Source organism: Homo sapiens, chromosome 22 (genome assembly GCF_000001405.40).
Source record: "Homo sapiens chromosome 22, GRCh38.p14 Primary Assembly".
NCBI lineage: Eukaryota > Metazoa > Chordata > Mammalia > Primates > Hominidae > Homo > Homo sapiens.
The window spans coordinates 24,245,145-24,272,978 of NC_000022.11; the positions used below are offsets into that span (position 1 = coordinate 24,245,145).

Here is a 27,834-nt window from a genome sequence, read left to right on the forward strand (position 1 = left end):
AAAGCGTCTGAGGGGAGTTTTCCTTGCCTAGAGGAGTCAGCTGCTGTGTTAACTCCCTCACTGCTAGTAGGTCCAAAGGCCCCACCTACCGCCCGCCAGAGCCCAGGGTCACACTGTCGCAATGTGCAGGAGAACTTGGTGCCTGCTGCACTGCGGTTGCCAGGTAGGGGCAGGGCTCCCTGGAACCTCCACACCATTCCCCGGGTTCCCGGCAGCTCTGGGAAAGCAGAGCTGGGGCCGCTCAACTCTCTCCCCTGGATCCGGCAAGGCTGCCCCCCTCCCAGAGTGGAGCCCTGCTCCCCAGCTCCCATCTCTATCCCCTAACCCTCTCCTCATGGCCCAGCCTAGTCAGCATCAAGGTGGAGCTGAACAGAGGCAGAGGGAGGGGGACACAAGGTGGTGTCACTTAAAACTTGGGTTCAAGTCCTTATGCTTCTGCAGCCTGGCCTGGGTCCCACAACTCCCCAGGGTGGCCAAGGGCTTCCCAGTCTGCACAGAGGACAGGGGGACTTGACAGCATCAAATGCTGGTGACTACAAGACGCCCATGTGGGGAATGCAGACAGACCATGCCTCTAGCCCTTGGCATCCGGGACCATTTGTCCAGGACTTGCTGTCCTGGAAATGCAGCATGGACCTCCAGGGAGGGAGGCTGTGTGGAGGCCACGCCCTGCCTGTAGCTCTTTCCCACCCTAGCTGCGGGTCTGCTTCCCTGAATCCAAATCCGCTATTACTGTGCTGGCAGCGCAGCCTCTCTAGGGACACTGGCCTGGCTCTGTTCTCCCCAGGCCTCAGGGTGCCTAAATGGGAGGCAGCCAGGAGAGTGAGGACCCACTGAGGGGCTCTGTTGACCAGGCTCAGCAGGGGTGCAGGTGATGTGGGCTGGACTTCTTCCCACGTGGCCCCCACAGTCCTCCCCGCTTCCTCCCCAGCTGAACACTGCCTGCTCCAGATGTCTACACCTGGAAGCCGGGCCCCCCCATCTGGGCAGCAGAGAAACTGAGGCACAGAGACAGACTGTGTCCTTACAGGCCACACAGCCTGCCAGGCCCCTATGTCCAGCCAGAGCCCCTGGTCAGCCTGGACTGGAATGATTGTTTAGAGGCAGGCTGTTCCCACGGCTGCCTCTCGCGGTGGGGGGCCTGTGGATGCCTCCTCCCGCCCCCACCCGACTCCCAAGCCTCAGTGACATTGCTCAACCAGGAGCTGAAGTGCATTCCTGGGCTTAGGCCAGCCCACCCACCCACCCGCTGCAGTCCTGGAAGCTCAGAGGCCTGGGCAGCAGGAACAGTGGAGACAGCAGCGTGGGGGACGTCCCCCCTCCTCTCCCCACCATCCTGGTCAGGCAGAGGCCAGGGTGCAGGGACCGCCTGAGCAAAGGCCCAGGGAAAGGAATGGGTGTCATTCTGGTCCTGACCCGAGGCACAGCCAGGAAGGTCCCTGAATGTCCTTCCTCAGGAAATGATGGGGGAAGGGGCGATGAGAATGAAGGAGAGGATTTAAGTCCCTCACCCCCCGAGGTAGTCCTGGGCTGAGCCCCACGGGACCTGGAGAACCAGGGTGTACCCCACCAGCGTGTCGGGTCCAGGAAGCCTCGTGGCCAGCTCCCACTTCTCTTCCTGCTGTGCAACCCAGAGCAAGGCCTGCCCCTCCAGCTTCAGTCTTCTCCCCTGCAAATGGGGCCACGGCCTTTCCTCTCAGGCCGAAATAAGGATTGAGGCCGGGTGCAGTGGCTCACCCCTGTAATCCTAGCACTTTGGGAGACTGAGATGGGGGGACTGCTTGAAGTCAGGAGTTTAAGTCCAGCCTGGTCAACATAGTGAGACCCCATCTCTATTTGTTTAAATAATTTTTTAAATTAAATAAATAAAATAAGGATTGAGGAGTGACTCGTACATCACTCAACTGGGAGCCCCAGAGACACAGCCCTCCAGGGCTCAGAACCGGTGGTACTCTACTCTGCAGGCACAAAACCCTGTTTGTGGGCCCTTTGGTATCACCAGGTTTTCGGGGCTCCTGAAGGATAGCCCCGACCTGGCCTCACCTGGGCCCTGGCCAGAGTGCCCCTGGTGATATCCAGAGTGCCCCTGGTGCTGGGCTGTGACCACCACCCCTCACCAGCCTATCTCCACCAGCCTTTCCCAGAATCCTGCCCCAGGTGTTGGAACTGTGCCTGGAGGAGGGAGCAGGCCCCGAGGGAGGCCTGGAGGGGCTGCTGATGGTGAAGGCTGCTGTGTCTAGTTGTTCCCTTCCAAACCCACTCCCTCTGGGCTGCATCCCCGGCTGGTCCAAGCCCTGATCCCTGGGATCTGGGGACCTCTTCCAGTTTGCTGTTCCCTGAGAACCAGGCCTCCCTCTGGAGAGGATCACAAGCTTGGGTTTCACTCTGGGCTTAAACTTGGAAACCCCCCAGGGGCTTGGCTCTGACTGAGATGTTTTCCTCCAGCCTCTTGCCCAATCCCCACTCCTCAGACCTCAGCTTCACCTCCCATGTCCTCGGCAGGGTGAGCTGGACGCCTACGGGTCTGAGAAGGCACCCGGGTTCCCGGCATCAGCTGGCCACTCTCTGCCTAAGAAAGGGCCGGGGTCGCTGCACCCTCTGGTGGCTGGTCCTAGGTGGTGTTGCTGCCCAGCCCAGGGAAGGGAGGGCCTGGCCCCAAGTCTGAGGGATCAGGGTGGGAAGGGGCAGGGCTTGGCATGGACCTTCCCCTGGCCCCCAGCCACGTGCCTGGCTTTCCCCATGCTGAAGATGCTGAGGCTAGTTCCAGCGACCGCAGCGTGAAGATCTCCGAATCCCGCCTCTCCAGTGCCTCATTTATTGTGCTGCTCTGCTGCTCACAGGGGAAGCCGGTCCCCCAGAGTCCCCTTCCTGGTCCTAGTGAGTATCTTGTCCCTAGATTGCTTGTCAGCCTTGTCCGCCTGGAGCACTCAGTAGCCAGCAGGCTCCCCGCCTTTCCTGGAGTCCGAGGCAGCTGCCCAGCCACCAGCCGTGTGGACGATGGCTTGCACCACAGCGATGAAAGTGGATGCGATCTGGGTGTGATGGTGCCGGGTCTCCAGGGCTGCAGTCACTGCCTGGGGGTGGGAGGAGAGGGGAAGCCTGAGCAAGGCTCCAGATGCCACCTGAACCACATCTGTGTGGTCACAGGCCTCAGCCCAGGTGGTGCCATTTCGGGCCAGGTCATCAGGAAGAGCAGGTTGGGGCCTGCTGGGTCTCACTGGAGCAGGGGGTTTGGCCTTCATGTCACAGGGGCTCCAGATGGCCCAGGCACTAGAGAGAGGACACCAACCATTGTCCACTCTGTGATGATCCAGGCCTCCAGCCCAGGATGCCCTGGGGCCCCACACCGTGACTCAGTTTCTCCAACCCCCGGCCCACCTGGTCAATGTTTCTCTCCACTGTCGTGACGTTGGGCAGAAGCTGGTTGTGCAGCCGGGGCTCCTCCACGGCCCGCTTCACGTCATAGCCGAACCAGAGGTTGTAGATGATGGCCTGGGGCATGGGAGTGTGATCAGCGTGGCTTGGGGGCTGTGCAGGGTGGGCACGGCCAGGGAGAAAAGCTGTGACACATATCAGTGCAGTGGCTGTGGTGATCTGTGTGCCCCCAGCAGCTCCCACAACCATCCGGACCTGGCCGTCCTGGCCCACCATGATCGTCGGGCACATGGACGAGAGCGGCTGCTTCCCTATGGCCGATGGGAGAAGACAGGGATGCCCGTCAGCTGCCTGCCCAGGACACCCGCCCCTCTCCACCCCAGTCCCCCACCCCCGGACCTCCACCCCATACCTGGCTGGATGAAATTGGCAGGTGAGGGGGCACCCCAAACTCGTTGGTGATGTTGGGAGAGCTGAAGTCGTCCATTTCATCATTGAACAGGATCCCGCTGACCGGGGAGCGGACCTTGGAGCCAAAGCTACCGCCCAGCCAGGTCAGACAGTGCCCGACCTTGCCTGGCCCAGCCTGGTCCCTATCCACCCACTGAGGCTCAAACATACTCACTGAGAGGCCCAGGATAAGCTACCAAGGTTGGGCCTCAGTTTCCCACCAGGAAAAGAGGTGACGGAGCCACCTTACTGGATAAGTGGGCAGTCCCTGGGCCACCCGCCCCTGGCCCTTTCCCACCCAGGCGGCCCAGCAGCCCCTACTAGAGGTTGATGGTGCTGGTGGTGGACACAGCACTGCCGTCTTCTGCGACGACAGACAGGTGAGCAGTGCCCCCATCAACTGGCGTGTAGAACTCGGGCTTGTAGTAGGAGATCGGGTGAGTGGTGTCGTCAGAGATCTGGGCCCGGAGCTGGGCAGCGAAGAACTCAGAGGTCATGTTGCGGACCACCTGCCGAGACCCCAGAGCTGGCCTGAGGAGGTGGGGAGGGAGGGTGGGGAGGGGGCACAGGTCTCAAAAGGCCCCTGACTGTGGCTCTGATCACAACCCTCTGGCACCCACAACCTTCCGTGGCTCCCCAGGACCCAAGGGCAGGCCCAGGATCTTGCAAGACCAGTCTGACTCCCTGTCTCTGTCGCGTTCCAGCAACTCTGAATGTCTGTCTGCCTGGTCCTCAGCCTCCAGACCCTTGCTGCATTCAATCACTCATTCCTTCATGCAAAAAATATTTCTAGAGTTTGCACTGCATGCCTGGCACTGGGGAATCAACAGGGAACAGACACTTAGGTCCTGCCCTCATGCCAAGAAAAACAAACACACACAGGGAAAGTGCTGAAACCACAAGCCAGGTAAGGGGAATCAAGAGGCATGAGGTATGGGCAGAGTGGTCAGGGAGGGCTTCTCAGAGGAGGCAACGTGTGAAAAGAGCCTGGAATGTGGCCTAAATGGTCAGTGCAAAGGCCCTGAGGCAGGTGGTATAGGCTGGTGAGCGATAGGCAAAGAGTGAATGGAGTGGGGTGGGGAGAAGAGGATGAAGATGCAGGCTGGGGCCCATCCCACAAGACCTCCTAGGTCCCATAACAACTGGCTTTTGCTCTGTGCCATGCAGGCTTAGGGCAGAGGAATGAGCAGGCTGGGGAGTGTTTTCACAGGGTCCCTCTGGCAGCTATGACGGGGATAAGGATAAAGCCCAAAGGGGAGGCTGTGGGTATCAACCAGGCAAGAGATGATGGCCTGGGTGGGAGAAAGAGAAGAATCAAGGATGGTGCCGACTAGCGAGGTAAACCCTGCAGAAAGGGCAGGTTTGGGGATGGTCAGGAGCTTGATTCTGGATACTTCATCAGACCTGAAGAGCATGGGTGCACGTATAAAAAAATAAATAAATAAGCATGGGTTCACGGGCAAGGGCGGGCTGAGAGATGAACATGGAGGTATTGACATTGAGTGGCTGCTGGATGCCATGAGCCTGGCCAAGGTCCCCAAGGCAGTGGCGAGGAGGAGATGAGGAGGTCAAGGAGGAGACAGAGGATGGACCCGAAGGCCGAAGAAAATGCCTCAAGGGAGTTTCAACACCGGGCGCGGTGGCTCACGCCTGTAATCCCAGCACTTTGGGAGGGGGATCACGACGTCAGGAGATGGAGATCATCCTGGCTAACACGGTGAAACCCCGTCTCTACTAAAAATACAAAACATTAGCCGGGTGTGGTGGCGGGCGCCTGCAGTCCCAACTACTCCAGAGGCTGAGGCAGGAGAATGGCGTGAACCCGGTAGGCGGAGCTTGCGGTGAGCTGAGATCAGGCCACTGGAATCCAGCCTGGGCGATAGAGGGAGACTCCATCTCAAAAAAAAAAAAAAAAAAAGAGAGAGAGTCTGGCTCTGTTGCCCAGGCTGGAGTGCAGTGGCGCGATCTCGGCGCATCACAATCCCTTCCCCGCCCGCCCCCGGGTTCAAGTGATTCTCCTGTCTCAGCCGCCGGAGCAGCTGGGACTACAGGCGCGTGCCACCATGTCTGACTAAATTTGTATTTTTACTAGAGACGGGGTTTCACTATGTTGGCCAGGCTGGTCTCCAACTCCTGATCTCGTGATCCGTCTGCCCCGACCTCCCAAAGTGCTAGGATTATAGGCATAAGCCACCACGCCCGGCCTCTTTTTTTTCTTTTTCTTTTTTTTATCTGGAGACTGAGTTTTGCACTTGTTGCCCAGGCTGGAGTGCAATGGTGCGATCTCAGCTCACTGCAATCTCCACCTCAGCAGGAGAGCAGGAATCTTCAGTGATCCACGGGCAGATCTGCCACCATTGTGGGCACCTGTTCCTCCCGCAACCTTTGTGCCCGCCTCTCTCCTTCCAGTACCTATTGCATGACCCCCCACGTCCGCCTCCCGCCATTGCCAGCAAGTGCCTCGCGCGGGTACCTGGCTGCGCTTATTAATCCGTTAAGCTCGCTCTGTCACGGGCGCCGTGATGTGCTCACGCGCCCACTCCCTCAGGTTTAAAAGGCGCGTTGCCCGGCAACAGAAGAAACTGCTGGCTTAGCCTTTGGCGGAGTTGGCGGCTGGACGAGGACGCTCAGAGCCCAGCTCTCGAGAGTTCAAGCAACCGACGGTTCCCCACTGCTCCCAGGAGCGGTTACCTGGGCACTCTGTGCCCCTCCTTCCTGTTCGGGCCCAGGCCGAGGACCTGCCAGTAGGGCTCAGTTGCCTGGAGCCCGTTCAGCCCATCCCCCAGTTCACTTTGCCTGTGGGATCTCCCCGTTGCTCCTGCCCGTGGACTGAGTGGCAGGCCATCCTACAAGCACCCGGACACTTGACATCAGTGGTGTCAAGACAACTCTAAGAAGGTTTTCCGTGATCCTGCAAGCCCTGCGTTCCTTCCTGGGATCCTGCCTTCAATTTGATTGCACAGGTACCACAGCAAGCCAGTGCTGTGTGCTCCGAGTTCCAGGGCGTCCTCCAGCTCAGCCACTGCACTGAGAACATGGACTCTCTGTGGGGCCCAGGAGCCGGGAGTCACCCCTTTGGGGTCCACAACACCCGGCTGTCCCCAGACTTGTGTCCAGGGAAGATAGTGTTGAGGGCCCTCAAGGAGAGCGGGGCAGGGATGCCTGAGCAGGACAAGGACCCTAGAGTCCAAGAGAATCCTGGTGATCAGAGAAGGGTCCCCGAGGTCACCGGGGATGCACCGTCTGCATTTCGGCCCCTGCGGGACAATGGAGGCCTCTCTCCCTTTGTGCCCGGGCCCGGGCCTCTGCAGACAGACCTCCATGCCCAGAGGTCAGAAATCAGATATAACCCGACATCCCAGACCTCCTGGACGAGCTCCTGCACCAACCGAAATGCCATCTCCAGCTCCTACAGCTCCACGGGAGGCTTGCCGGGGCTAAAGCGGAGGAGGGGGCCAGCCTCATCCCACTGCCAGCTGACCCTCAGTTCCTCAAAGACAGTGAGTGAGGACAGGCCTCAGGCTGTCTCTTCAGGTCACACCCAGTGTGAAAAGGCAGCAGATATAGCACCAGGGCAGACACTCACCCTCAGGAATGACTCCTCCACATCCGAGGCCTCTAGGCCCAGTACACACAAGTTTCCCCTGCTGCCACGCAGGCGAGGGGAGCCTTTGATGCTGCCACCTCCCTTAGAGCTGGGGTACCGGGTCACTGTTGAAGACCTGGACCGGGAGAAGGAGGCGGCCTTCCAGCGCATCAACAGTGCACTGCAGGTTGAGGACAAGGCCATCTCGGACTGCAGACCCTCACGGCCTTCCCACACTTTGTCCTCACTTGCAACAGGGGCTTCTGGTCTGCCTGCCGTTTCTAAAGCACCCAGTATGGATGCACAGCAGGAGACACACAAGTCCCAAGACTGCCTGGGCCTACTGGACCCCTTAGCATCTGCTGCAGGGGTCCCCTCTACAGCTCCCATGTCTGGGAAGAAGCACAGACCACCAGGCCCCCTGTTCTCCTCCTCAGATCCCCTTCCTGCCACCTCTTCTGATTCCCAGGACTCAGCCCAGGTCACCTCGCTGATTCCTGCCCCCTTCCCAGCTGCAAGCATGGATGCGGGCATGAGAAGAACAAGGCATGGCACTTCTGCTCCTGCAGCTGCCGCAGCAGCCCCTCCCCGCTCCACATTGAACCCCACGTTGGGGTCACTACTGGAGTGGATGGAGGCCCTTCACATTTCTGGGCCTCAGCCACAGCTGCAGCAGGTGCCCAGAGGTCAGAACCAGAGATCCCAGACCTCCTGGACCAGCTCGTGCCCCAAATGAAATGCCATCTCGAGCCCCTACAGCTCTACGGGAGGCCTCCCGGAACAAAAGCGGAAGAGGGGCCAGCCTCATCCCACTGCCAGCTGACCCTCAGTTCCTCAAACACAGTGAGTGAGGACGGACCTCAGGCTGTCTCTTCGGGTCACACCCAGTGTGAAAAGACGGCAGATACAGCACCAGGGCAGACACTCGCCTCCAGGGGTGGCTCCCCCAGATCCCAGGCCTCTAGGCCCCGTATATGCAAGTTTCCCCTGCTGCCACGCAGGCGAGGGGAGCCTTTGATGCTGCCACCTCCCTTAGAGATGGGGTACCGGGTCACTGCTGAAGACCTGGACCGGGAGAAGGAGGAGGCATTCCAGCGCATCAACAGTGCACTGCAGGTTGAGGACCAGGCCATCTAGGACTGCAGACCCTCACGGCCTTCCCACACTTTGTCCTCACTTGCAACAGGGGCTTCTGGTCTGCCTGCCGTTTCTAAAGCACCCAGTATGGATGCACAGCAGGAGACACACAAGTCCCAAGACTGCCTGGGCCTAGTGGCCCCCCTGCATCTGCTGCACAGGCCTGTAGTCCCAGCTACTTGGGAGGCTGAGGCAGGAGAACGGCATAAACCCGGGAGGCAGAGCTTGCAGTGAGCTGAGATCGCGCCACTGCAATCCAGCCTGGGTGACAGAGCGAGACTCCGTCTCAAAAAAAAAGAAAAAGAAAAAAAGTTCTTGTGACATTTGTGTATGAAATCAGCCTTCACTACATGGATAGGACCAGCACGCTTCCGCGGCACGACTCTGCAATCTTACTACATTTTTTTTATTTTGTATTTTTTTTATTCCTTTTGAGACAGTCTCACTCTGTCACCCAGGCTGAAGTGCAGCCGAGATCTCGGCTCACTGCAACCTCCACCTCTTGGGTTCAAGCAATTCTCCTGTCTCAGCCTCCCAAGTAGCTGGGACTACAGGCACACGTCAAAACGCCTGGCTAATTTTTGTATTTTTAGTAGAGATGGAGTTTTGCCATATTGGTCAGGCTGGTCTCGAACTCCTGACCTCAGGTGATCGACCTGTCTTAGCCTCCCGAACTGCTAGGATTACAGGTGTATATTTATTTATTTAAGATGGAATCTTGCTCTGTATTTATTAATTTATTTATTTGAGATGGAGTCTTGCTCCATCGCCCAGGCTAGAGTGCAGTGGTGCAATCTCGGCTCCCTGAAACCTCTGACTTCCAGTTTCAAGTGATTCTCCTGCCTCAGTGTCCCAAGTAGCTGGGATTACAGGTGCCTGCCACCACAGCTGGCTAATTTTTGTATTTTTAGTAGAGACAGTGTTTCACCATCTTGGCCAGGCTGGTCTCGGGCTCCTGACCTCATGAACCACCTGCCTCAGCCTCCCAAAGTGTTGGGAATACAGGCCTAAGGCACCATGCTCGGCCATATTTATTTATTTAATTATTTAGAGACAAAGTCTTCCTCTGTCACCCAGGCTGGAGTGCAGTGGCGCCATCTCAGCTCACTGCAGCCTCCGCCTCCGAGGTTTAAGCGATTCTCATGCCTCAGCCTCCTGAGTAACTGGGACTACGGGTACTCACCACCATGCAGGGATATTTTTTTCTATTTTTTTTAGAGACACGGTTTCACCATGTTGGCCAGGCTGGTCTCGAACTCCTGACCTTAGGTGATCTGACAGCCTCGTCCCCTCAAAGTACTGGGATTACAGGCATGAGCCACTGTGCCCGGCCTCTCACTACATTTAAGTGACGCCATGGCTCATGCCTGTAATCCTGGCACTTTGGGAGGCCAAGGCAGGTGGATCACTTGAGGTCAGGAGTTCGACATGAGCCTGGCCAACATGGGGAAACCCTGTCTCTAGTAAAAATGCACAAATTAGTCAGGCATGGTGGTACAAGCCTGTAGGCCCAGCTACTTGGAAGGCTGAGGCAGGAGAATCACTTTAACCGGGAGGCAGAGGTTGCAGTGAGCCAATATCATGCCACTGCACTCCAGCTTGGGGGACAGAGTGAGACACCGTCTCAAAAAAAAAAAAAAGAAAATAGAAAAACATATGATGCCGGGGCGTCTCGGCCTCAATACCTGCATGAGCACAGTCATGTCCAGGCCAGGGCTGCTGGTCAAGGTCCGGCCCCATCTCTTTCAGCAGAAAGGGAGTAAGGTTGCAGGGAGGCTGAGGGACAAGATCCCAGGATCTCAGCCTCCGCTCATGGATCAGCTCTGAGACCCCAAGTGAGCTGGGGGTGCTCTGTGCGCATTGGTTTCCCCAGCTGTCAAGTAAAGGGATTGGATGAGGAAGTCTTGTCAAGGTGGAATGATCTCAGATTTGGGGCAGCAGTGAATGATCCCGTTCCCTGGGCCATGCCAGTGGCCCGGCCTCGGCTCAACACAGCCCCAACACTCTGGAATGGGGATGAGGGGGCAGTCAGCTCTTGCTCCTAGTAAGAGAGATGCAATAGGGCTCTGTGGCTGAGCTGGGTGCCTTGCCTCACACCTGTAATCCCAACCTTTGAGAGGCCGAGGCGGGAGGATTGCTTGAGGCCGGGAATTTTGAGAATAGCCTGGACAACATAGCCAGACCCCATGTCTACAAAATAATAATAAAACACACAGCTATAGTCCAAGCTACTTGGCAGGCTGAGGCAGGAAGGTCCATTGAGTCCGGGAATTGGAGGCTGCATTGAGCTATAATCGCACCATTGCACTCCAGCTTGGGTGACAAAGTGAGACCCTGTCTCTAAAAGAAAAAAAAATTGGCCTGTGAGCATGGGTTTGATTTTCAAACAGGACTCGGAGGGTAGGGACAAACAGTGCTGTCACCCTTAGGTGCTGAACACTCAGAAATGGGCCAGCGGCAGCCCTTCCCTCACCTGCAGACACCAGATTGGGCAGAACAGCACGTGGCACTTGCAGCTCTTGCAGTGAGGGCAGAACCCAGTGTCAACCCTTCTGCCTGTGGGAGGGGCTGCTGAGGCCTGCGGAGAGGCCAGGGTGGAGGCTCGTTCCCTTGTCCAGCCCTTGGCGTGGTCTCCACCAGGTCCCCAGCCCACCAGTGTAGGCCGCCCCTGAGCCTGCTGCTGCCACGGGCCCTGTCTCTACCCAGGACGCCCCCCGACCCTCGCAGTGTCAGGGAAATGATCATGGTGGTGGTGACACTCCGCAGGCAGGGCTGCTGAGAGAAGCTGAGAAGGGTCACACTGCAGGCAGGGGCCCGTGTGACAAGCCCCTCTCACCCCGAGAGAGCTGACCAGGCAGCTCACGAGCAGAGCCACATCCCGGGAGTCCGAGAAAGGTCCTGGCTGGGCTCAGCCACCTCATTGGCCACGGGCAGCCTTTGTCGTGTGAGCCTTGCTCTCCTGGGGAGGCTCAGGCTGACGGCTGATGTGGGCATTGCCGAGGGTAACCTGTGGCCCAGTGTATATGGCCGGGTCTCCTCAAGCTGCATTCATTCAAGTAGGACCCAGGGTGCATGCCCATCTCCAGCCCAGGGCAGCTCCCCTGTAAGCTGGGTGAGCTACTGAAGCCAAGGTGGGAGGCAGCTGACAACACCACCCACGGCCCATGCAGAGGTGGTAGAAAGGCTGGACTCAGCAGGAACACCAAATCCCGGACCAGGCAGAAACCACCCAAGACTGAGGGGCTCGTGCCAGAGCGGTGGCCACAGGTAAGAACCCCGGCCCAGGCTGTGTGGCAGGAAACCTCCATGTCCCAGGGCTTAGCATAGCAAAGGAAGACCAGCCGGGTCACCCTGGTGGCCATCTGTCCCTGTCCCACCTGCAGAGTCAGAACAGCCTCTCCCCAGTGGGGATCATCTCTCTCTGCCAAAGCAACAGCGGTCCCTGCCCCAACCAGACTACCCCACTCAGTGGGGTTACGGATGCTGCTCCAGCATCCTAACACTGCCCAGCTGGTGCCTGCCTGTGCTCACCCACAACCCCCAGGCCGGCCTTCCCTGCAGCCTGGGCTTGGCCACCTTGGCCTGATTGAGCACTGAGGCCTCCTGGGCACCCAGCCCCATCACTGCACCTGCTGCTTCCAGCCCCACCCCACCGGCTCAGGGGTTCTTCCCAGCGGCGCTGATCATGAAGTCAACATGCACGCAAGTCGTCTCAGGAAACTTTTTAATGAAAGTGTCGGCCACGGTGGTGTGTAGGTGGCTGAGCTCAGATTGCAGCTGCTAAGACACCAGCCACTTACCAAGAGAAAGCCAGGCTGCTTCAAACCCAGGGCCGGAGGCAAAAAAGCATCACTTCCAGCCGGGGAGTCTGGAAGCCACGCCTTGTGGGAGGTCACACTGGCATCTAGGCCTTCGCCTGCACTGCAGAAGGAGAGCCGGGTCCCCCTCCTGGAGAACGCTGCGTTCCCCAGCCCCACACCGGCTTTGCCACCACACAGGCTGTTGAGGCAGGAGGCGGGTAAGACGTAGCTGTAGACCCAAAGCAACCACCAGCCCTGGGACCCTGCGGGAGAGGAGCACTTTTAGAACATGGAAAAATGTGGTCATCCCATCATTAGACAGCACACATCCTACATAAATAAAAAGTCGTATGGGGAAGGAGGTTGGGGAGGGAATAAAAAATTGGCACAGACATTGATAGACTGGTTTCCAGTTTCAAGGTAACAGATGCACATCATGAGACCAGAGGAGGCAGAGACAAGGGCTGAATTTGGCTTTTCTAAGCAACATGTGTTCCTGCGCAGGGCTGAATGGTCGCTGAGACAGAGATGGAAGCCAGGACAAGGGAGCCCACCGGGCCCAGATAGGTACAGAGAGCAGAGGCTCCTGTTCTGTCCTCGCCACCCATGAGGGTGACACTGCTTGTAAATGGTGGCTGTGCTCTCCCAGCAAGAAAAAAGCACAACTAAATCCACACTGCACACAGACGCAGACAGAAAGCCTTCAAGTGGCTCTGTTTTCTGCTCCCTGCCTTGCCAGGTCCACAAGCAGAGAGGAGTGTCAGGCACATGGCCCCGCTGTCAGGCTCCCCAGTGAGCTGTAGGCTCAGCAGGAGCTGCCCACTGACACACAGGGGACACCCACTCCTGCCACCTTGGGAGCGGTTGCCAGACAGAGCCGCACTGGGTGCTGGTGTCATCCAGGGACCCCACACACTTCCTTAAATGTGATCCTGCTTCCCTCTGGGCAGCTGCATCCTCTCCTCCTGCAGGACCGTCTGGAAACTTGGCTCTCAGTTTGATCTCCCTTCTCTCCTCTGCCTGCCCCAAGCCCCTCTTTCTAAAAAAGTGATGCCATGTTCATGGGATTATTTCTTGAAAATACTTGGCGGCCTCCATGCTTCTGTTTTCTTTGAGCCAGGTGGTCAGGAGGGCTTACAAAGAATGCCTGGGCTCCCCCGCAGCTGCCGGCAGATGGGGTAGCGAATGGTCCTGTGCCTCCACCTGCTCCGGGAGGGAGTCTCCCGTCTCTAGGCCTGGCCCCTTCCTAACCCTCCACGTATCCTGTTCTCCAGAGACTTCAGAACCCACTCCTGAGAACAGCGGAGCCAGGCGCTTAGAGGAAGACCAAATGCTGCCAGGACACGGATTGTCCAGGGATTACATTCCAGCATCTTATTAGGTATCTGGATCTGTTGGGAAAAAAATTAGAAACTATGTATAAAACTTAAAAATATTCAAGTATCAAAAGGTTATTTAGGATGAAAGTTTTAAAACAAGTCATCAGCAAGCTGCTGCCACCAAGTGGAGACTTATACAAAAGTTGAGCGAGTCCACTGAGCTGAGAGGACAGAAATGAAGTCACCTGTGCTGGGGCAGGGGCAGGGACACTGGGGGCAGGGAGTGTGTGGGCAGAGAAGCCAGAGAAGTCCAGGCCTGTGGAAGCCAAACAGGAGAGCGTGGGCCGGAAGGGCGGTCAGGATCGGGGGACGAGGTCGCTCTCCCTGGAGAACGAACCCTAAAGTGCGTAGCCTGGGGTTCCCTCCCTGGGGGTCCTGTCCCCCGACGTTTCACGGGCCTTCTGAGCTGCCTTCCAAGGAGGACTAACACGGCAACAAAAGACCCATTTCTGCACAAAAATCCTTCTGGGAAGAAAAAGAAGAAAGCCAAGAATGGAGTCAAAACGCTACCCAGTGCTGACTAAGCCTCTCAAACCCTGTTCTAAGTGGAGTGTGGTTTCTAAGTCAGGGAAATGGAAGAGGCCCCACCCACACAGGGACAGGGCCACGGCCCCCACAGGATGAAGCAGCAGCGTTTATTCAAGATACAACAGTGAGGGAATCCGGTCACGTTCCCTTCTCCCCAGAGAGGGCACTTCTTGACAAGTGATTCAGTAGAAATCTTTTAGACTCTATAAGTTAAGTTCATAAAAACCATTGCTTTCACCCTGTCTCCGAGGGCCAGGCCTGGACTCAGAGATGAACTGGCTTGGGGCGCCCTCGGGTGGCCGCATAAAAAACCCACAGTCTGAGGCCAGCCTGGGGCTTTCAGACCTGGGCGGGATCTGCCCAGGCCACCTGTCCTTCTGCTTTGGGCCGCTGTCTCTTGGCAGATGGCCTGACACCTGGGGGTGGCCCAAGGATGCCTCAGAAAATCTTGATTCCCACTCTACAGATGGCCCGATTAGCCAGAGGTTTCCAGGCCATCTGTCCGCCTCCAGGAGATGGACTGGGACCTTTAGACATCGGTGGAGAACAGGATGCTCTGTCTCTTGCTGTCCAGGGCAGGGATGGCCTCCAGCCGCAAGAAGTACAGCAGCACCTCGACCTGCCCTCGCAGAGTGGGGAAGAGGAGAGTGGCTCAGAGCGGGGCTCACAGCTGCTGGTGGGGAGGTCTTTGGGGCCCAAGTCCCCAAGTCCACCTCAGGTGCTAGAAACCCCTGCTGGTGTCATGAACCCCTTACAGTGAGACGGGGGTGGGGTGGGGTCCTGACAAGGCATGACTTGTTGGGTGGGGGGTGGTTATTTATTTTAGAGATGCACAGGGCCTTGCTCTGTCCCCCAGGCTGGAGTACAGTGGCTCCATCATGGATCACTGCAGCCTCTAACTCCTGGGCTCAAGCAATCCTCCTGTGTCAGCCTCCCAGATACCTAGGATTACAGATGTGTGCCACAATGCCTGCCTAATTTTTCTTTGTATTTTTTCTGGAGATGGGGTTTGCTACATTGCCCAGACTGGTCTCAAACACCTGGGTTCAGTTGTCCTGCCTCGGCCTCCCAAAGTGCTGGGATTACAGGCATGAGCCACCACACCCGAACACTTGGGGTGGTTTTAAGCCCCCAGCAAGGTGCACCAGCAGGACCAGGAGGTGGCCTGGGCACCCCCTATCACTCCCATCCATGCAAACCTAGGCAAGTCCCTCTCTCTGAATCTCAGCCACCACCACATACAATGCAAGTCGGAAGATGGGCAGGACTGGGGGTGGGGCAGGCAGAGACCACCTCTGTCAGGCTGGGGTTGCATGGGCTGGAGACTGTCTTCCCATACCTGAGACATGACCTCCAAGGACCTGCTGTCAGTCATGGTGATGGGCTGGCTGGGGTTGGCAGGGAGCTTGCTCTCCTTCTCGGAGGGCCGGAGCAGCGTGGGGCCAAAGACAGTGGCGAGGTTGTGCAGGGACATCTTATTGACTGCTTCCTTCTCTGCCACCCTGTAGAGGACGGAAGCAGAGGGTGCTGTTTCAACGCCACCACCAGGAGAGAGGCAGAGGGGCTGTGCCGTGCTAGAGTCCTCAGGGAGGGAGTGACCTCGACCCTGGCTGTGCTGCAAGCTGACTCCAGCCTTGGTACTTCTGGGTCTCAGTGGCCCAGGACAAGGGGCCAGCTCTGGGCTGATGGGGAGGTCTTCATGATGTGCTTGGGAGGGAAGAGGCGGGTCCAAGTGCACTGCTGGCCACGGCCAAAGCTCTGAGCTCTTTGTTAAGGCCACAGTGCAGAGGGAGGCGGGTGGCAAAGAGGAGAGGCAGGGGCGGGGGTGGCAGTGGTGCTAGTCCTTAGAAGCAGTGAGTTACTGCAGACAGGGGTCGGGGGAAAAGGTCCTTGGTGCTGGGGGTCTGGTGGGAGCAGAGGGGCACCCCAACGGCCTGGAGACCTGGAGTCCTGGGCAGCCACAAGAGAGCTGGGCTACCTTTCCAGGCGGTCTAGAAGGAAAAGGAAGGTGAGCAGGTTGGCCTCCGGCAGGGACAACAACAGGTTGAGCATGCAGCTCTTCCTTGCAACTGGGTCTGAAAGAGCTGCAGGAGGCAGTGGGTGACTCCCCTGGGTTACGACAAGCCGGAGACCTCTCCCGAGGTGGTCACATGGAGCGCCCGGGACACGAGTCCTTGCGCAGTTTAGGCTTGTCATCATCGTCACACCCACAGCGCTGGCCGCCAGTGAGGACCCTGTGAGGGGCACCTGTGTGGGGTGTGAACCACCTGAACGCCTTTTCTCTACCTCGCAGGGCTCAGCAGCACCCGGTGAACAGCAGCAGGAGGAGCCGCTAGAGCAGCTGCTCATGGGCAGAGCAGCCCTTGGGCAACTCCTGCCACCACCCCCTCCCCAGGGAGCCCAAGGCAGGGGAGGCTCAGCATGGAATGAAACAGGGGAGTGAGGGACACAAGGAGGTGGGAAGTGGGAGGGTCCCAGCCCCACCAAGTACGCAGAGACCCCCTTGTCGTCCTGGACACCACAGGGGCACCTGCAGGCTGGGAGACCAGGTCCTCTGTGCATGGGCCCGGGAGGCAGACCTGCCCCAAGGGTGATGCAGAGGCCACAGGTGCTGCACGCTCCAGCGCCCACTCTAGACATCAGCCTCCAGGTTGACTAAGGGTCAGGTCATGTTTGAAACCATGCTTGGCTGGACCGGGACCCATGGCAAGAGCACCTGGGCACCAGTGTTTAGCCCTGGTCTGCAGGAAGGAGGACAGCAGACTTTAGGACCCCACAGCATGGCAGTGCTGACCATTTCACCCACTTGGCCTCCTTGAGGAATAGGGATGGGGAGCCCTCTGGGGATGAGCAAGGCCTTCCAGGACAGGCTCGGTTCTGGTCCCCTGCTTTTTGAGGTTGGGTTAAAATGCCGACCATGGCAGAGGGGTCACAGCTCAGGTTCCCACACCTCACTTTTCACAGCCTCCAAGGGCAGCAGTGCACATGGAGGAGACGTCTCCCACGAGGCCAAGGCCTCCAATGCTCACCGATGCCCTCTGCGAAGCTGGGGTAGAACTCGTCAGTGAAGAGGGGCTCAGGCAGCTCACGGAAGTACAGCTTCAGCGTGCCTGCGATGGCGTTCATGTCCGTCTCGCTCATCATCACCGACATGTCCTTCTTATCTGGAAAGAGCACGGAAATGCAGCGGCCTCCTTGAAGATCCTGAGTGAGTCACCTGCCATCCCTGCCTTGGCTAAAGCACCGTCCCTGCTATGCTGACCACTGTGTGGGTCCCTCCCGGGCTTTGAGCAGCTCATCTGACTCCTCCCAAGAGCTGTGCATGGTTCTGTGTCTGCAGAGTTGATAGGGGTGCATGGGCATTCCCATTCCTCTCCCCTGCTTGGCCTGATGTGATGGCCAGGAGGAGGCCAGCATGGCAGGACACAGCTCCTGCGTGGGGATTGGGTGGCTCTGCCCTGTACATAGCAACCACCCCTGCACCAGTGTCGTCTGATGGCAGGAAGGCCGTGGGAGAATCTGATTGGTTTCAGTGTTTGAACCGGTGTCTTCCTTTGGACCCAATTGGCCATTGGTGCTTACATCCTCACCACAGGCCAGGTTCATTCTGGGCCCCCAGAGGGAGCTGAAACTACCACAGGGCCCTCCCAGGGATGCTGGGCATTCTAGGGGTCCTGGTCAGGGTGGGTGGTGTGTGCTGCAAAGAAGGATCTGCAGGCACAAAATCCTGTTGCTTTGAAGATGCTGGGAGGGACCCTCTGGGGTCTCAGTGCCCTCCCCTGGCATTTGAGGCAGGTCCGGGTCCTTCAAAGCCTGTGAGGGTTGGTGAGATGGAGGCGGAGAGGCTGCAGCCCCGGCCTGCGCTGAATTTCATCAGTGCCCTCTGCCCACCACATCCTCATACAGGGCAGTGGACAGACCGCACTGAGTCCTGGGCTTCCACCTCCTGTCCACCCCCAAGGCAGGAAGGCCAAGTCCCCACAGAAGCCCCTGGTCCACTCCACCAAGTGGCATGAGTGGGTACGATGGTGTAAAAACTGGCTTCTATAGAAGCTGTTTGTACAACTCTTGTTTTCTCTTTTTTTAAAATAATAAAACAGTAAATGAAGAAAAGACACAGAGAAGGATGTGACATGCCTGGGCCATGGAGCACTCTGAGATCTCATCGCGGACACCACTGCCCACACCTCCATCCCGTCCTGCGCAGGCCAACACTCACTGACATCGAAGGCTGCCTTCAGTGCCTGGATGTCTGCGGCCACACCGGCCGGACACGTGGTAGATGCCCACCTCCTCCATGCCTCGGCGCTCGATCTCCTCCACGCACTGGCGCACGATGTAGGGCACCTTGGACCTCTCTCTCCTGTGGGAGGGGGGAATGTTCTCAGTGTCCTAACAGCCCTGCTTGGGCCATAACACAGGAGACCTGCTCCCTATCTGCGCACCCGGAGGTGGGGTGAGGACGGTGACGAAGGTACCCAGGTCTGGGGCTGCACACAGAGCCTTCTGCATGCCTGTCCTCCCTCTGCAAGCTCTGTCTTCACGGCATGTGCTTTCTCAGGAACCTTTCAAGCGGCCAGAACCCCTGCGAATCACACATGACCTTTGCGGGAAGGTCAGGAGGCCTGTCTAAGTCAAGTCAGCACGGGAAGGGCATCTGACAGATTCCAGGCCTGGGGTTAGCAGCCTGTGCCCCCGGCTGGGAGATCAGACCCGGTGTTGGTCCTGCCACCCACGTGCTGTGTGAGAGGAGAATCCCTGACCCCTGCCCTGGGCCTTAACACACATCCGACGAATGAATGAAGGGTTGCCTCAGTACCGGTGCTCCAAGTCCTGCGATGCTAAGTGCTTTTCTCCTCTGAGTCTTAGCAATGGACAATTCCAATACCTCCACACAGGACACTAGAGTAAGAAACCTTCACAGTTAGAACGCAGTGCTGTGCGGAGGCCTTAACTTGAGTTCTGTTTTGCACCTGGATTTACCAGCACATCAAAGCTGCTTCGCAAGCCCCCTCATTAGCAGGGCTTATCTGGGGGAGCTGCTGATGGAGTCCTCGCTGCTCATGCCCACAGCCCTCCCAGAGTGCTATGCGAGTGGCTGCCGTGCAGTTGGGGGTGGGGCGTGGTGTTTAGACACAGATAGGAGTCCAGGGTATGACTGATGGAGGCCCCGGCCCACGTGACCAGCAAGGTCAGAGGCCCAGCCAGATTCCATCCTGGGGAAGCAAATGAATTCTCAGAGGAAGTGGTCTGTGTCTGCATGAACTGCTCTCAAACCAACAAACAGGCTTCTCTTGGCAACAGACTCATGACAAAGGATTCAAGATTGTTTGAAAAAAAAAAAAGGGGAGCAGGGAGGCAGAAAGTCCTGGAAAAGTAAATTGTTTATTTTACAATAAGAAAGTGATTACATATTTTTTTTTTTACAATGGTGGAAAATTAGAAGTCATTGTGAAAATGATGTCTACCTGCCTTGCTGATGAGTAGGATGTGATTTGGCTCTTTAGGAAACTGAATTTGCAGAACTTAAGAATATTGATTTATAAAGGGCATGGCCATTGACCCAGTCCATCTTATGCAAATCTGGATGCCATAAATAATATTTAAAAATGAAAGTATTGGGGTGGAGGTTGCAGTGAGCAGAGATTGCCCCCGCTACACTCCAGCCTGGTCGACAGAGTGAACTCTGTCTCAAAAAAAAAAAAAAAAGAAAAGAAAGAAGAAGCCATTCCCAACGTTGCTCATCAAATTATGACCATAAATTTCCAGGATCAGACTAACGGCTAAAGAGACTGATGCATCAACACCAGGCAGAGAATAAAGCAGATTTTTTTGTTGTTGTTCTGGAGAGCTTCTAGGAACTTGAAAAATACATATGCCACACTCTTAAGACCCGGTGGTTCTTAATCAGGGATGTTCATTAAAATGCTGGAAAACTGTAAAGACTTCCAGGTCCCATCCAAGGAGATTTTGCTTCTGATTGACTGGCTAGTGGCCTGGCCATTGGTATTTTGAAAAATCCCTCCAAGTGATTCTTTTACATCCCAGATAGAAAACCCTAAATTAAAGGTGAAAAAACCAGACACCAAGTGGCATTTAAATAAATGTCAACTTTAACTCCACAAAGCATCTGGTTGCATGTGGACAGAAAGAGAAGGAAAGAGGGCCCTATATCTGGATAACTTAGAAATGTGCTCCCCCTAGCAAGATATCTACCAAAATTAAAACCATATTTGAGGATGCTGGCACTGCGAGTAATATATAAATGATGCATGTAACGTCATTTAATATGATCTTATTTTTAAAAATGAGTAGAGTGGTGTTTTCTAGCTGTTAGTTTTTCCAAATATCAATATAGAAATTTGCCTTCTGCAGCTGCAGAGGCAATTCAGTTTGCAGCTTGCTTGCATGTGGCCTAGAGCCATAACATGGCCCAGGGCATCTCTGATCCACCCCTCCCACAACCACCAAAGCCAGAGACAACCAAATGCCTTGGGCCATCTGGTGAGAGAGGTAGCTGCATGGCAGTAAGAGTCCTGCTCTGAAGTAACAAGAGCCTTAAGGCCTAGTTTTGACTTACTGCTAACTTGCTGACACTGCACACTTGCTGAGTGATCTTGGGTGAATCCTTTCACCTCTCTGAGGTTCACTATGAAATGAGAGGTCAATGGTCAAACTTAAACACCTTCAGAGGTTGGGTAATATCAGTGAGTAAAATGGACCAGGCAGAGCACAAAGCGGAATGGTGCAGACTGTGGCAAGTTGAGAACTTATGCCTCTGTAAAGGGGGCAGCCACCACTCATTTACTGCCGATTACTCTATCTTTGCTGAGGACAGTTGCACAGGTAGTGCACTGCAGAAGGGTAACACCTTAGAGGGGTGTCATTTGCATCATAGATGCAAAATTCACAGGCGAAGACTGATGTAGTTTGTCCCTAAAGTTTTGCTTTGATTTGCAGATATTTATCCATGGCAGTTTCCTGAAAGATGTCTATAGAAGGTTTTGAGGAATGGGCACCTTTTAATTTGCTACTAAACTAAACCCCAAGGGCCCATTATATGCCAGCACGGTCCTAGAGATTCCACACTCATTCAGTTCCTTTTCATCATAGGAAGTGGGCATTATAATATCAGGTCCACTGTAAGAGGTGGAGCCTGGGCATGGTGGCTCATGCCTATAATCCCAGCACTTTGGGAGGCCTACCTGTGCAGATCGCGGGAGCCCAGGAGTTTGAGACCAGCCTGGGCAACACGGTGAAACTCTGCCTTTACAACACATATAAAACGTTAGCTGGGCTTGGTGGCATGTCCCTGTAGTCCTAGCTATTCGGGAGGCTGAGATGGGAGGATCGCTTGAGCCTGGGAGGTCAAGGCTGCAGTGAGCCCAGATTGCACAACTATACTCCAGCTTAGGCCACAGAGCAAGACCTTGTCTCAAAAAATACAGTAAAATAATAAAAAGAAAGAAAGAGAAAGGAACAGATCAATAGGTACAATAAAGTAACGTTTGTATAAAAAAAGCAAAAGAACATATTTGTTTATTTGGATATTTGTTTATATTCATAAACTATCTCTAGAAAGATACCAAGAAACTGAATCTATTTGGTTGTATCTGAGAAACTACAGGAATAGGGATGGGGTTGAGATGGTGCCTTCTGAATTTTGAAATATACAAATGTATTGTCTATTTAGAAATAAATGGGCCAGGTGTGGTGGCTAGGCTGGGTGCGGTGGCTCTCGCTTGTAATCCTGGCACTTTGGGAGGTCGAGACTGACAGATCACTTGAGGTCAGGAGTTTGAGACCAGCCTGGCCAACATGGTGAAACTCCGTCTCTACTAAAAATATGAAAATGGCCAGGTGTGGTGGCTCACCCTGGTAATCCCAGCACTTTGGGAGGCTGAGGCGGGCGGATCACCTGAGGTCAGGAGTTCGAGAACAGCATGACCAACATGGAGAAACCCCATCTCTACTAAGAATATAAAATTAGCCTGGTGTAGTGGCGCATGCCTGTCATCCCAGCCACTCAGGAGGCTGAGGCAGGAGAATTGCTTGAACCCGGGAGATGGAGGTTGTGCCGAGCCGAGATTGCGCCATTATACTCCAGCCTGGGCAACAACAGCAAAACTTTGTCTCACAAAAAGAAACAACAACAACAGCAACAACAAAACACACACACAAAAATTAGCTGGGTGTGGTGGTGGGTGCCTATAATCCCAGTTACTCAGGAGGCTGAGGCACGAGAATTGCTTGAACCTGAGAGGCGGAGGTCGCAGTGAGCCAAGATCAGGCCACTGCACTCCAGCCTGGGCAATAGAGCAAGACTCAATCTCTAAATAAATATATAAAATAAATAAACAGTATTAAGACAAAAATCATAAGGACATTACATAAACCACGTTATGCCAGTGATTTTTTAAAATATCAAAACAGGCAGTTTTATAGAAAAATACAACTTCAGGCCAGGTGGGGTGCTTGTAATCCCAGCACTTTGGGAGGCCGAGGTTGGTGGATCACCTGATCTCAGGAGTTCGAGACCAGCCTGGCCAGCATAGCAAAACCCCAACTCTACCAAAAATACAAAAATTAGCTGGGCGTGGTGGCACATGCTTGTAACCCTAGCTACTTGGGAGGCTGAGGCGGGAGAATCACTTGAACCTGGGAGGAGGAGGTTGCAGTGAGCCAAGATCACGTGACTGCAACAGAGAAATTCTGTCTCAAAAGAAAAATATAACTTCATAAAAACGAAGTAGGGAGAAACAGAAAAGTTTGTCTAGATCTAGAACCATCAAAGGAATTGAATGTTTATTTTAAAATCTGTATCCCGGCCGGGCGCAGTGGCTCAAGCCTGTAATCCCAGCACTTTGGGAGGACGAGGTGGGCGGATCACAAGGTCAGAAGATCGAGACCATCCTGGCTAACATGGTGAAACCCCATCTCTACTAAAAATACAAAAAATTAGCCGGGCCTGGTGGTGGGTGCCTGTAGTCCCAGCTACTCGGGAGCCTGAGGCAGGAGAATGGCGTGAACCCGGGAGGCGGAGCTGGCAGTGAGCCGAGATGGTGCCACTGCACTCCAGCCTGGGCGACAGAGCGAGACTCCGTCTCAAAAAAAAAAAAAAAAAAAAAAAAATCTGTATCCCATCCCCTCAAAAATCTCACAAAAAAACAAAACCAAAGAAAAGTACCTGGCCCAGATGATTTTATGGACAGCAAACATTAAAAAGAACATAAAGTTTTTATCTTCTACATAATTTTTAAAAATTAATTATTTATTTTTGACAGAAAGTCTCGCTTTGTAGCCCAGACTGGAGTGCAGTGGCGTGATCTCTGCTCACTGCAACCTCTGCCTCCCAGGTTCAAGCAATTATCCTGCCTCAGCCTCCAGAGTAGCTGGGATTACAGGTGTGCCCGGCTAATTTTTTGTATTTTTAGTAGAGATGGGGTTTCACCATGTTGGCCAGGCTGTTCTTGAACTCCCGACCTCCGGTAATCCGCCCACCTCGGCCTCCCAAAATGCTAGTTTTACAAGCGTAGGCCACAGTGCCCAGCCTAGATAATCTTTCAGAAAAAGAAGCAAATGGAATTCTCCCCAACTCACTGTGAATTTAGTATAGGCTTAAAACCAAACCAGACATAAATAGTACAAGGAGGCAAAAGTATGGACTAACTTCTTATGGACATATATGCAAAAACGCTAAATAAAATATTAGCAAATAATCCAGCAATGGATTAAACATGTATCACGACCAAGTTGGGGTTTTCCTAGGAAACTAAGATTATGTAATAAAAGAAAAAACTATTAAAGTAGTACAAACTATCAAAGGAAAAAACCTGTATGATCATTGCAACAGGTTCATTTGCGACATAATACAATTTTTTTCTTTTTTTTTTTTTAAGTCTTTTTGGCTGTAAGTTTATTCAATGCAAAATAATCCTCTCCAATTCTACTGAGGTGGCTGACGGTGTCCACGACCAAATTTGCCTCTAAACTGGAATTCGGTTGCTGACCCAGCCCCAGCCTCGGCTTTCTTGTCGGCACCAGGGGGCACAGCACTCCTTCTGTAGGTATCTCTGTCGGCTTCTCCTCTTGTGAGTCTTGCAGGTCGCTCACCCTCCAGACCTTTAGACCGAGGCCTGCCAGTCCCTGGACGGCTGCGGCGTAGGGTGGCAGGCACAATCTCCAGGGGCAGATGAAGGTAATCACGGAGATACTGGATATCCTCATTGGTAAGGTACCAGTAGACATGTCTCCAGGCAAACTGTTCCTTCACGTAGTAGCCTCGGGACTACATGACAGGAAGGTTGGGCACACACATTCTTTTTTTTTTGAGAGGAGTCTCACTCTGTCGCCCAGGCTGGAGTGCAGGGGCGCGATCTCGGCTCACTGCAACCTCCGCCCCCTGGGTTCAAGCAATTCTCCTGCCTTGGCCTCCCGACTAGCTGGGATTACAGGTGTCTGCCACCGCGCCTGGCTAATATTTTTGTATTTTTAGTAGACACGGGTTTCACCATCTTGGCCAGGCTGGTCTTGAACTCCTGACCTCGTGATCCGCCCGCCTCGGCCTCCCAAAGTGCTGGGATTACAGGCCTAAGCCACCGCGCCCGGCCGGGCACATTCTTGTCTGCCAACTCCAGGTGCTTAGGCATGTGGACATCCTTCTTGACCACCGTGACTTCCTCTTTAAAAAGGAGTTCATAAATGGCAATCCGGTTTTTCTTAGGCATCAGCATTCTGGGGAGGAGCAGCCGCTAAGGTGGCAGGGTGGCCCGGATGGGGGCCGATGGAACTCGAACTCCCCCAGAATTTCTTTAATATTTTATATATATATATATATATATATACATATATATATGTATATATATACACATATATATACATATATATATACGTATATATATATGTATATATATACATATATATATACGTATATATATATACGTATATATATATGTATATACATATATATATACATATATGTTGCTCGCTTATTCTTTTTGTCTGTTCCCTTATGTACCGGGAGTGCCAGGAGGACAGGGCTTTGTGTTTTCCTCACTGCTGTCTGGCTCATGCATAGCACAGTCCTTGGCACACGGTAAACACGCTGAGGAGAACTTTTGGGACTAGCGGACTCTGAGCATCATTCCGCTGGGCCCAGTGGGGCCTCTGAAGGGACCCGCCTTGCCCGGCTCCAGCCCAAGACCTGAGGCATGCGCACCGGCTGGCCGGCTACTTTCTTGACCGGCCAAGTGGCAGAGCGGCTGCGCGACCCAGTGCCGAGACGGACGCGAGCCGGAGATGGGGGAAGGGGAGGGGGTGGTGGTGGGGGACGGCGGCGCCTGCGCAGTGAAGGAATGTAGGCGGGGCCTCCACGACGCCTGCGCAGACGGCCGCAGCCCTGCTGGGCGCGAAGGGGCTGGCCAAGGGCGGGGCCCGCGAGGGAGGCCGGGCGGCCCGGCAAGCGGCGCTGCGGGGTAGGCTGCTTTCCTGAGGCCGGACTCAACGGGTCTCGGCTGAGCCACCGGGTGAGCTCACCGCCCAGCCCAAACCAGGAGATTGCGAGGGAGCGATGCGGTGCAGCGCGGTAAGAGCAGCAGCCGGGTTCCCGCAGTGTTCGCTGGCGGGTTGGTTTATCGCCTCAGCGCCGCCCGCGCTGCCGCGCCCGGGCGTCCCCGCAGACCCCGGCAGGCCCAGCGCCTGCGCCGTCTCTGCTCCTGGGCCCCTCCAGTGTGTCCCGCGCCTGCGCCTTTCCCTTCCCGCGCCGTCCTCGTTCTGGGCTTCGGGGCTTCTGGAACAACCCGCAGGCTTCGCCGCCGAGACCCACTGGCCTTCGTCCGTTGGTGTTGGGGTTCAGCTGGTTCTGGGACCCCGCTTGCGGCTTGACTGTGTGCAGACAGGCCGGGTGCGACCCTCGTGCTTGCCTTTCCGCCGCTCCGGGAGAGGCTGGGGCTGCCGCCCCATCGCCCGGGTCCCTTGCCTGGGGCGGGGACAGCGTTGTTCAGTGGCCCCGAGGGCGCAGAGCGGAGGAGCAGGGGCCACAGGCGGCGGACCCCGGGCCTGCTGCCGGTGCTGCTTCTGCTGTGGCCGGCGCCCGAGGCGGACGGAACGTCCTTTTTTCTTGAGACGTGGTTAATTGCATCAGGTTGGATGTGAATAATCCGGTACCTGTCTGAGGAAATTTTGCGTTTCCAGGAATTTGGTAATTGTATTACCTTAAGTAGTTAAGTCTAAGACATCATAGTCGCGGCACGTTGGGCAAGCTGCCCTGGAGATGACGAAAAGAAATCAGTTTCCAGTAGTTTTAGCCCATTTACAGAACACGCAAAAATTCTGTGATCATTCAAATGCGGGGAACCTTGATTTGTTGATATCCTTGATCATTTGTCCAAGTACCAGAAGGGCGAGGAAAAGATTCCCGTGAACAGCCCAGGTGATTTCAGGGAACAGTGTTTTCTTTTGTCAAAAGAGCCTCTTAAGCCATGATAATATTTCCCAAGCTTATAACAGATACAAGCCTTTAAAAAATGGCATTTGCTGTCACCCAGTAGGACACATCTTGAGATGAAATCAGAGCTGTAGGCTTTGTAGACAACAGCAGTCATTTCTGGTGGCTTCAGGGAGTGGAGGGGGACTGCAATTTTGCCAATGTAGGTGATACCAAAGGGACTATAGTAATTTTTTCTTCGTAATTAAAAACCAGGCCAGGCGCGGTGCCTCATGCCTGTAATCCCAGCACTTTGGGAGGCCGGGGCGGGCGGATCACCTGAAGTCAGGAGTTCAAGACCAGCCTGACCAACATGGTGAAATCCTGTCTCTACTAAAAATACAAAAAGCGCGCGCCTGTAATCCCAGCTACTCAGGAGGGTGAGGCAGGAGAATCGCTTGAACCCGGGAGGCGGAGGTTGCAGTGAGCCGAGTTCGCGCCACTGTACCCCAGCCTGGGCTACAGAGCGAGGCTCCGTCTCAAAAAAACAAAAACCAGATATAACAAGGCCGAGCTCCCTGGCTCACGCCTGTAATCACAGTAGTTTGGGAGGCCGAGGCGGGTGGATCACCTGAGGTTAGGAGTTCGATACCAGCCTGGCCAACATGGTGAAACCCCGTCTCTACAAAAAATATAAAAATTAGTCGGGCGTGGTGGCACACGCTTGTGATCCCAGCGGCTCGGGAGGCCGAGACAGGAGAATTGCTTAGGAGGCAGAGGGTGCAGTGAACCGAGGTCTCGCCACTGCACTCCAGCCTGGGCGACAGAGTGAGACTCTGTCTCAAAAAAAAAAAAAAACAGCTATTACAATATACATGTATGTTGTAAAATAACCAAACCAACATAGAAGGGTATATAGTGAAAGGAGAAGTATTGTTGTGGGTAAAATTGTTTCAATAAATGGCTAATCCAGTATTTTTTTCCTCCAAAAAAACACCTTTTCCCCTTTGATTTAGTGTATACCACACAGAGTCGCTTAGCCGATTCAGTGACTTTTTTGATAGCTGGAGAATGCTTCCTAATGGTTGCAGGTGTGTAGGGGTTTTCTTGACATTTTCAGTAAGAAAGTGAATGTTGTGCCATAGGAAAGCTTTA

At 54.9% G+C, this 27,834-nt stretch overlaps 1 protein-coding gene, 1 long non-coding RNA gene and 4 pseudogenes across 5 annotated transcripts in view, besides 12 other annotated features; 3 read left to right on the plus strand and 3 right to left on the minus strand.

The window, feature by feature from the left end:
- Positions 943–1,498: an enhancer, noted in NCBI's record as "H3K4me1 hESC enhancer chr22:24642055-24642610 (GRCh37/hg19 assembly coordinates)". NCBI's record gives its function as "activates a minimal SCP1, AML or CMV promoter by ChIP-STARR-seq in primed H9 embryonic stem cells {active_cell/tissue: H9 hESC(primed)}" and the evidence as "EXISTENCE:reporter gene assay evidence [ECO:0000049][PMID:30033119]".
- Positions 2,437–2,731: a silencer, noted in NCBI's record as "tiled region #1554; HepG2 Repressive DNase unmatched - State 4:PromP, and K562 Repressive non-DNase unmatched - State 12:CtcfO". NCBI's record gives its function as "represses a minimal TATA promoter and a strong SV40 promoter by Sharpr-MPRA in HepG2 and K562 cells {active_cell/tissue: HepG2 | K562}" and the evidence as "EXISTENCE:reporter gene assay evidence [ECO:0000049][PMID:27701403]".
- Positions 2,437–3,629: a biological region, named in NCBI's record as "Sharpr-MPRA regulatory region 1554".
- Positions 2,472–2,541: a silencer, noted in NCBI's record as "silent region_13545". NCBI's record gives its function as "represses an Ori minimal core promoter by ATAC-STARR-seq in GM12878 lymphoblastoid cells {active_cell/tissue: GM12878}" and the evidence as "EXISTENCE:reporter gene assay evidence [ECO:0000049][PMID:35858748]".
- Positions 2,641–3,629: an enhancer, noted in NCBI's record as "H3K27ac-H3K4me1 hESC enhancer chr22:24643753-24644741 (GRCh37/hg19 assembly coordinates)". NCBI's record gives its function as "activates a minimal SCP1, AML or CMV promoter by ChIP-STARR-seq in naive and primed H9 embryonic stem cells {active_cell/tissue: H9 hESC(naive and primed)}" and the evidence as "EXISTENCE:reporter gene assay evidence [ECO:0000049][PMID:30033119]".
- Positions 2,804–4,356, minus strand: GGTLC4P (gamma-glutamyltransferase light chain 4 pseudogene; annotated as a pseudogene).
- Positions 6,437–6,937: an enhancer, noted in NCBI's record as "H3K4me1 hESC enhancer chr22:24647549-24648049 (GRCh37/hg19 assembly coordinates)". NCBI's record gives its function as "activates a minimal SCP1, AML or CMV promoter by ChIP-STARR-seq in naive H9 embryonic stem cells {active_cell/tissue: H9 hESC(naive)}" and the evidence as "EXISTENCE:reporter gene assay evidence [ECO:0000049][PMID:30033119]".
- On the plus strand, positions 6,477–20,380 carry POM121L9P (POM121 transmembrane nucleoporin like 9, pseudogene; annotated as a pseudogene). Its single transcript, NR_003714.1, has 7 exons — positions 6,477–8,254; positions 11,609–11,815; positions 12,853–12,915; positions 13,623–13,729; positions 15,764–15,892; positions 16,549–17,463; positions 18,356–20,380. The product of NR_003714.1 is annotated as a POM121 transmembrane nucleoporin like 9, pseudogene (transcript).
- Positions 10,792–11,696: an enhancer, noted in NCBI's record as "H3K4me1 hESC enhancer chr22:24651904-24652808 (GRCh37/hg19 assembly coordinates)". NCBI's record gives its function as "activates a minimal SCP1, AML or CMV promoter by ChIP-STARR-seq in naive H9 embryonic stem cells {active_cell/tissue: H9 hESC(naive)}" and the evidence as "EXISTENCE:reporter gene assay evidence [ECO:0000049][PMID:30033119]".
- On the minus strand, positions 12,256–18,621 carry BCRP1 (BCR pseudogene 1; annotated as a pseudogene).
- Positions 14,519–15,136: an enhancer, noted in NCBI's record as "H3K4me1 hESC enhancer chr22:24655631-24656248 (GRCh37/hg19 assembly coordinates)". NCBI's record gives its function as "activates a minimal SCP1, AML or CMV promoter by ChIP-STARR-seq in naive H9 embryonic stem cells {active_cell/tissue: H9 hESC(naive)}" and the evidence as "EXISTENCE:reporter gene assay evidence [ECO:0000049][PMID:30033119]".
- Positions 14,556–14,625: a silencer, noted in NCBI's record as "silent region_13546". NCBI's record gives its function as "represses an Ori minimal core promoter by ATAC-STARR-seq in GM12878 lymphoblastoid cells {active_cell/tissue: GM12878}" and the evidence as "EXISTENCE:reporter gene assay evidence [ECO:0000049][PMID:35858748]".
- Positions 19,123–19,853: an enhancer, noted in NCBI's record as "H3K4me1 hESC enhancer chr22:24660235-24660965 (GRCh37/hg19 assembly coordinates)". NCBI's record gives its function as "activates a minimal SCP1, AML or CMV promoter by ChIP-STARR-seq in naive H9 embryonic stem cells {active_cell/tissue: H9 hESC(naive)}" and the evidence as "EXISTENCE:reporter gene assay evidence [ECO:0000049][PMID:30033119]".
- Positions 24,150–25,044, minus strand: RPS10P29 (ribosomal protein S10 pseudogene 29; annotated as a pseudogene).
- Positions 25,476–26,005: a silencer, noted in NCBI's record as "silent region_13547". NCBI's record gives its function as "represses an Ori minimal core promoter by ATAC-STARR-seq in GM12878 lymphoblastoid cells {active_cell/tissue: GM12878}" and the evidence as "EXISTENCE:reporter gene assay evidence [ECO:0000049][PMID:35858748]".
- The window catches only part of SPECC1L-ADORA2A (SPECC1L-ADORA2A readthrough (NMD candidate)), a 171,544-nt gene continuing 169,382 nt past the window's right edge, over positions 25,673–27,834 (plus strand). The window contains 1 exon segment of the long non-coding RNA NR_103546.1: positions 25,673–25,839. This is a non-coding gene — a long non-coding RNA (SPECC1L-ADORA2A readthrough (NMD candidate)).
- The window catches only part of SPECC1L (sperm antigen with calponin homology and coiled-coil domains 1 like), a 146,908-nt gene continuing 144,760 nt past the window's right edge, over positions 25,687–27,834 (plus strand). For all 3 annotated transcript variants that reach the window (NM_015330.6, NM_001145468.4, NM_001254732.3), the window contains exon 1: positions 25,687–25,839. The gene's annotated coding sequence lies outside the window, so the exon portion shown is untranslated. The remainder of the gene's footprint in view (positions 25,840–27,834) is intronic.
- Positions 26,066–26,145: an enhancer, noted in NCBI's record as "active region_18767". NCBI's record gives its function as "activates an Ori minimal core promoter by ATAC-STARR-seq in GM12878 lymphoblastoid cells {active_cell/tissue: GM12878}" and the evidence as "EXISTENCE:reporter gene assay evidence [ECO:0000049][PMID:35858748]".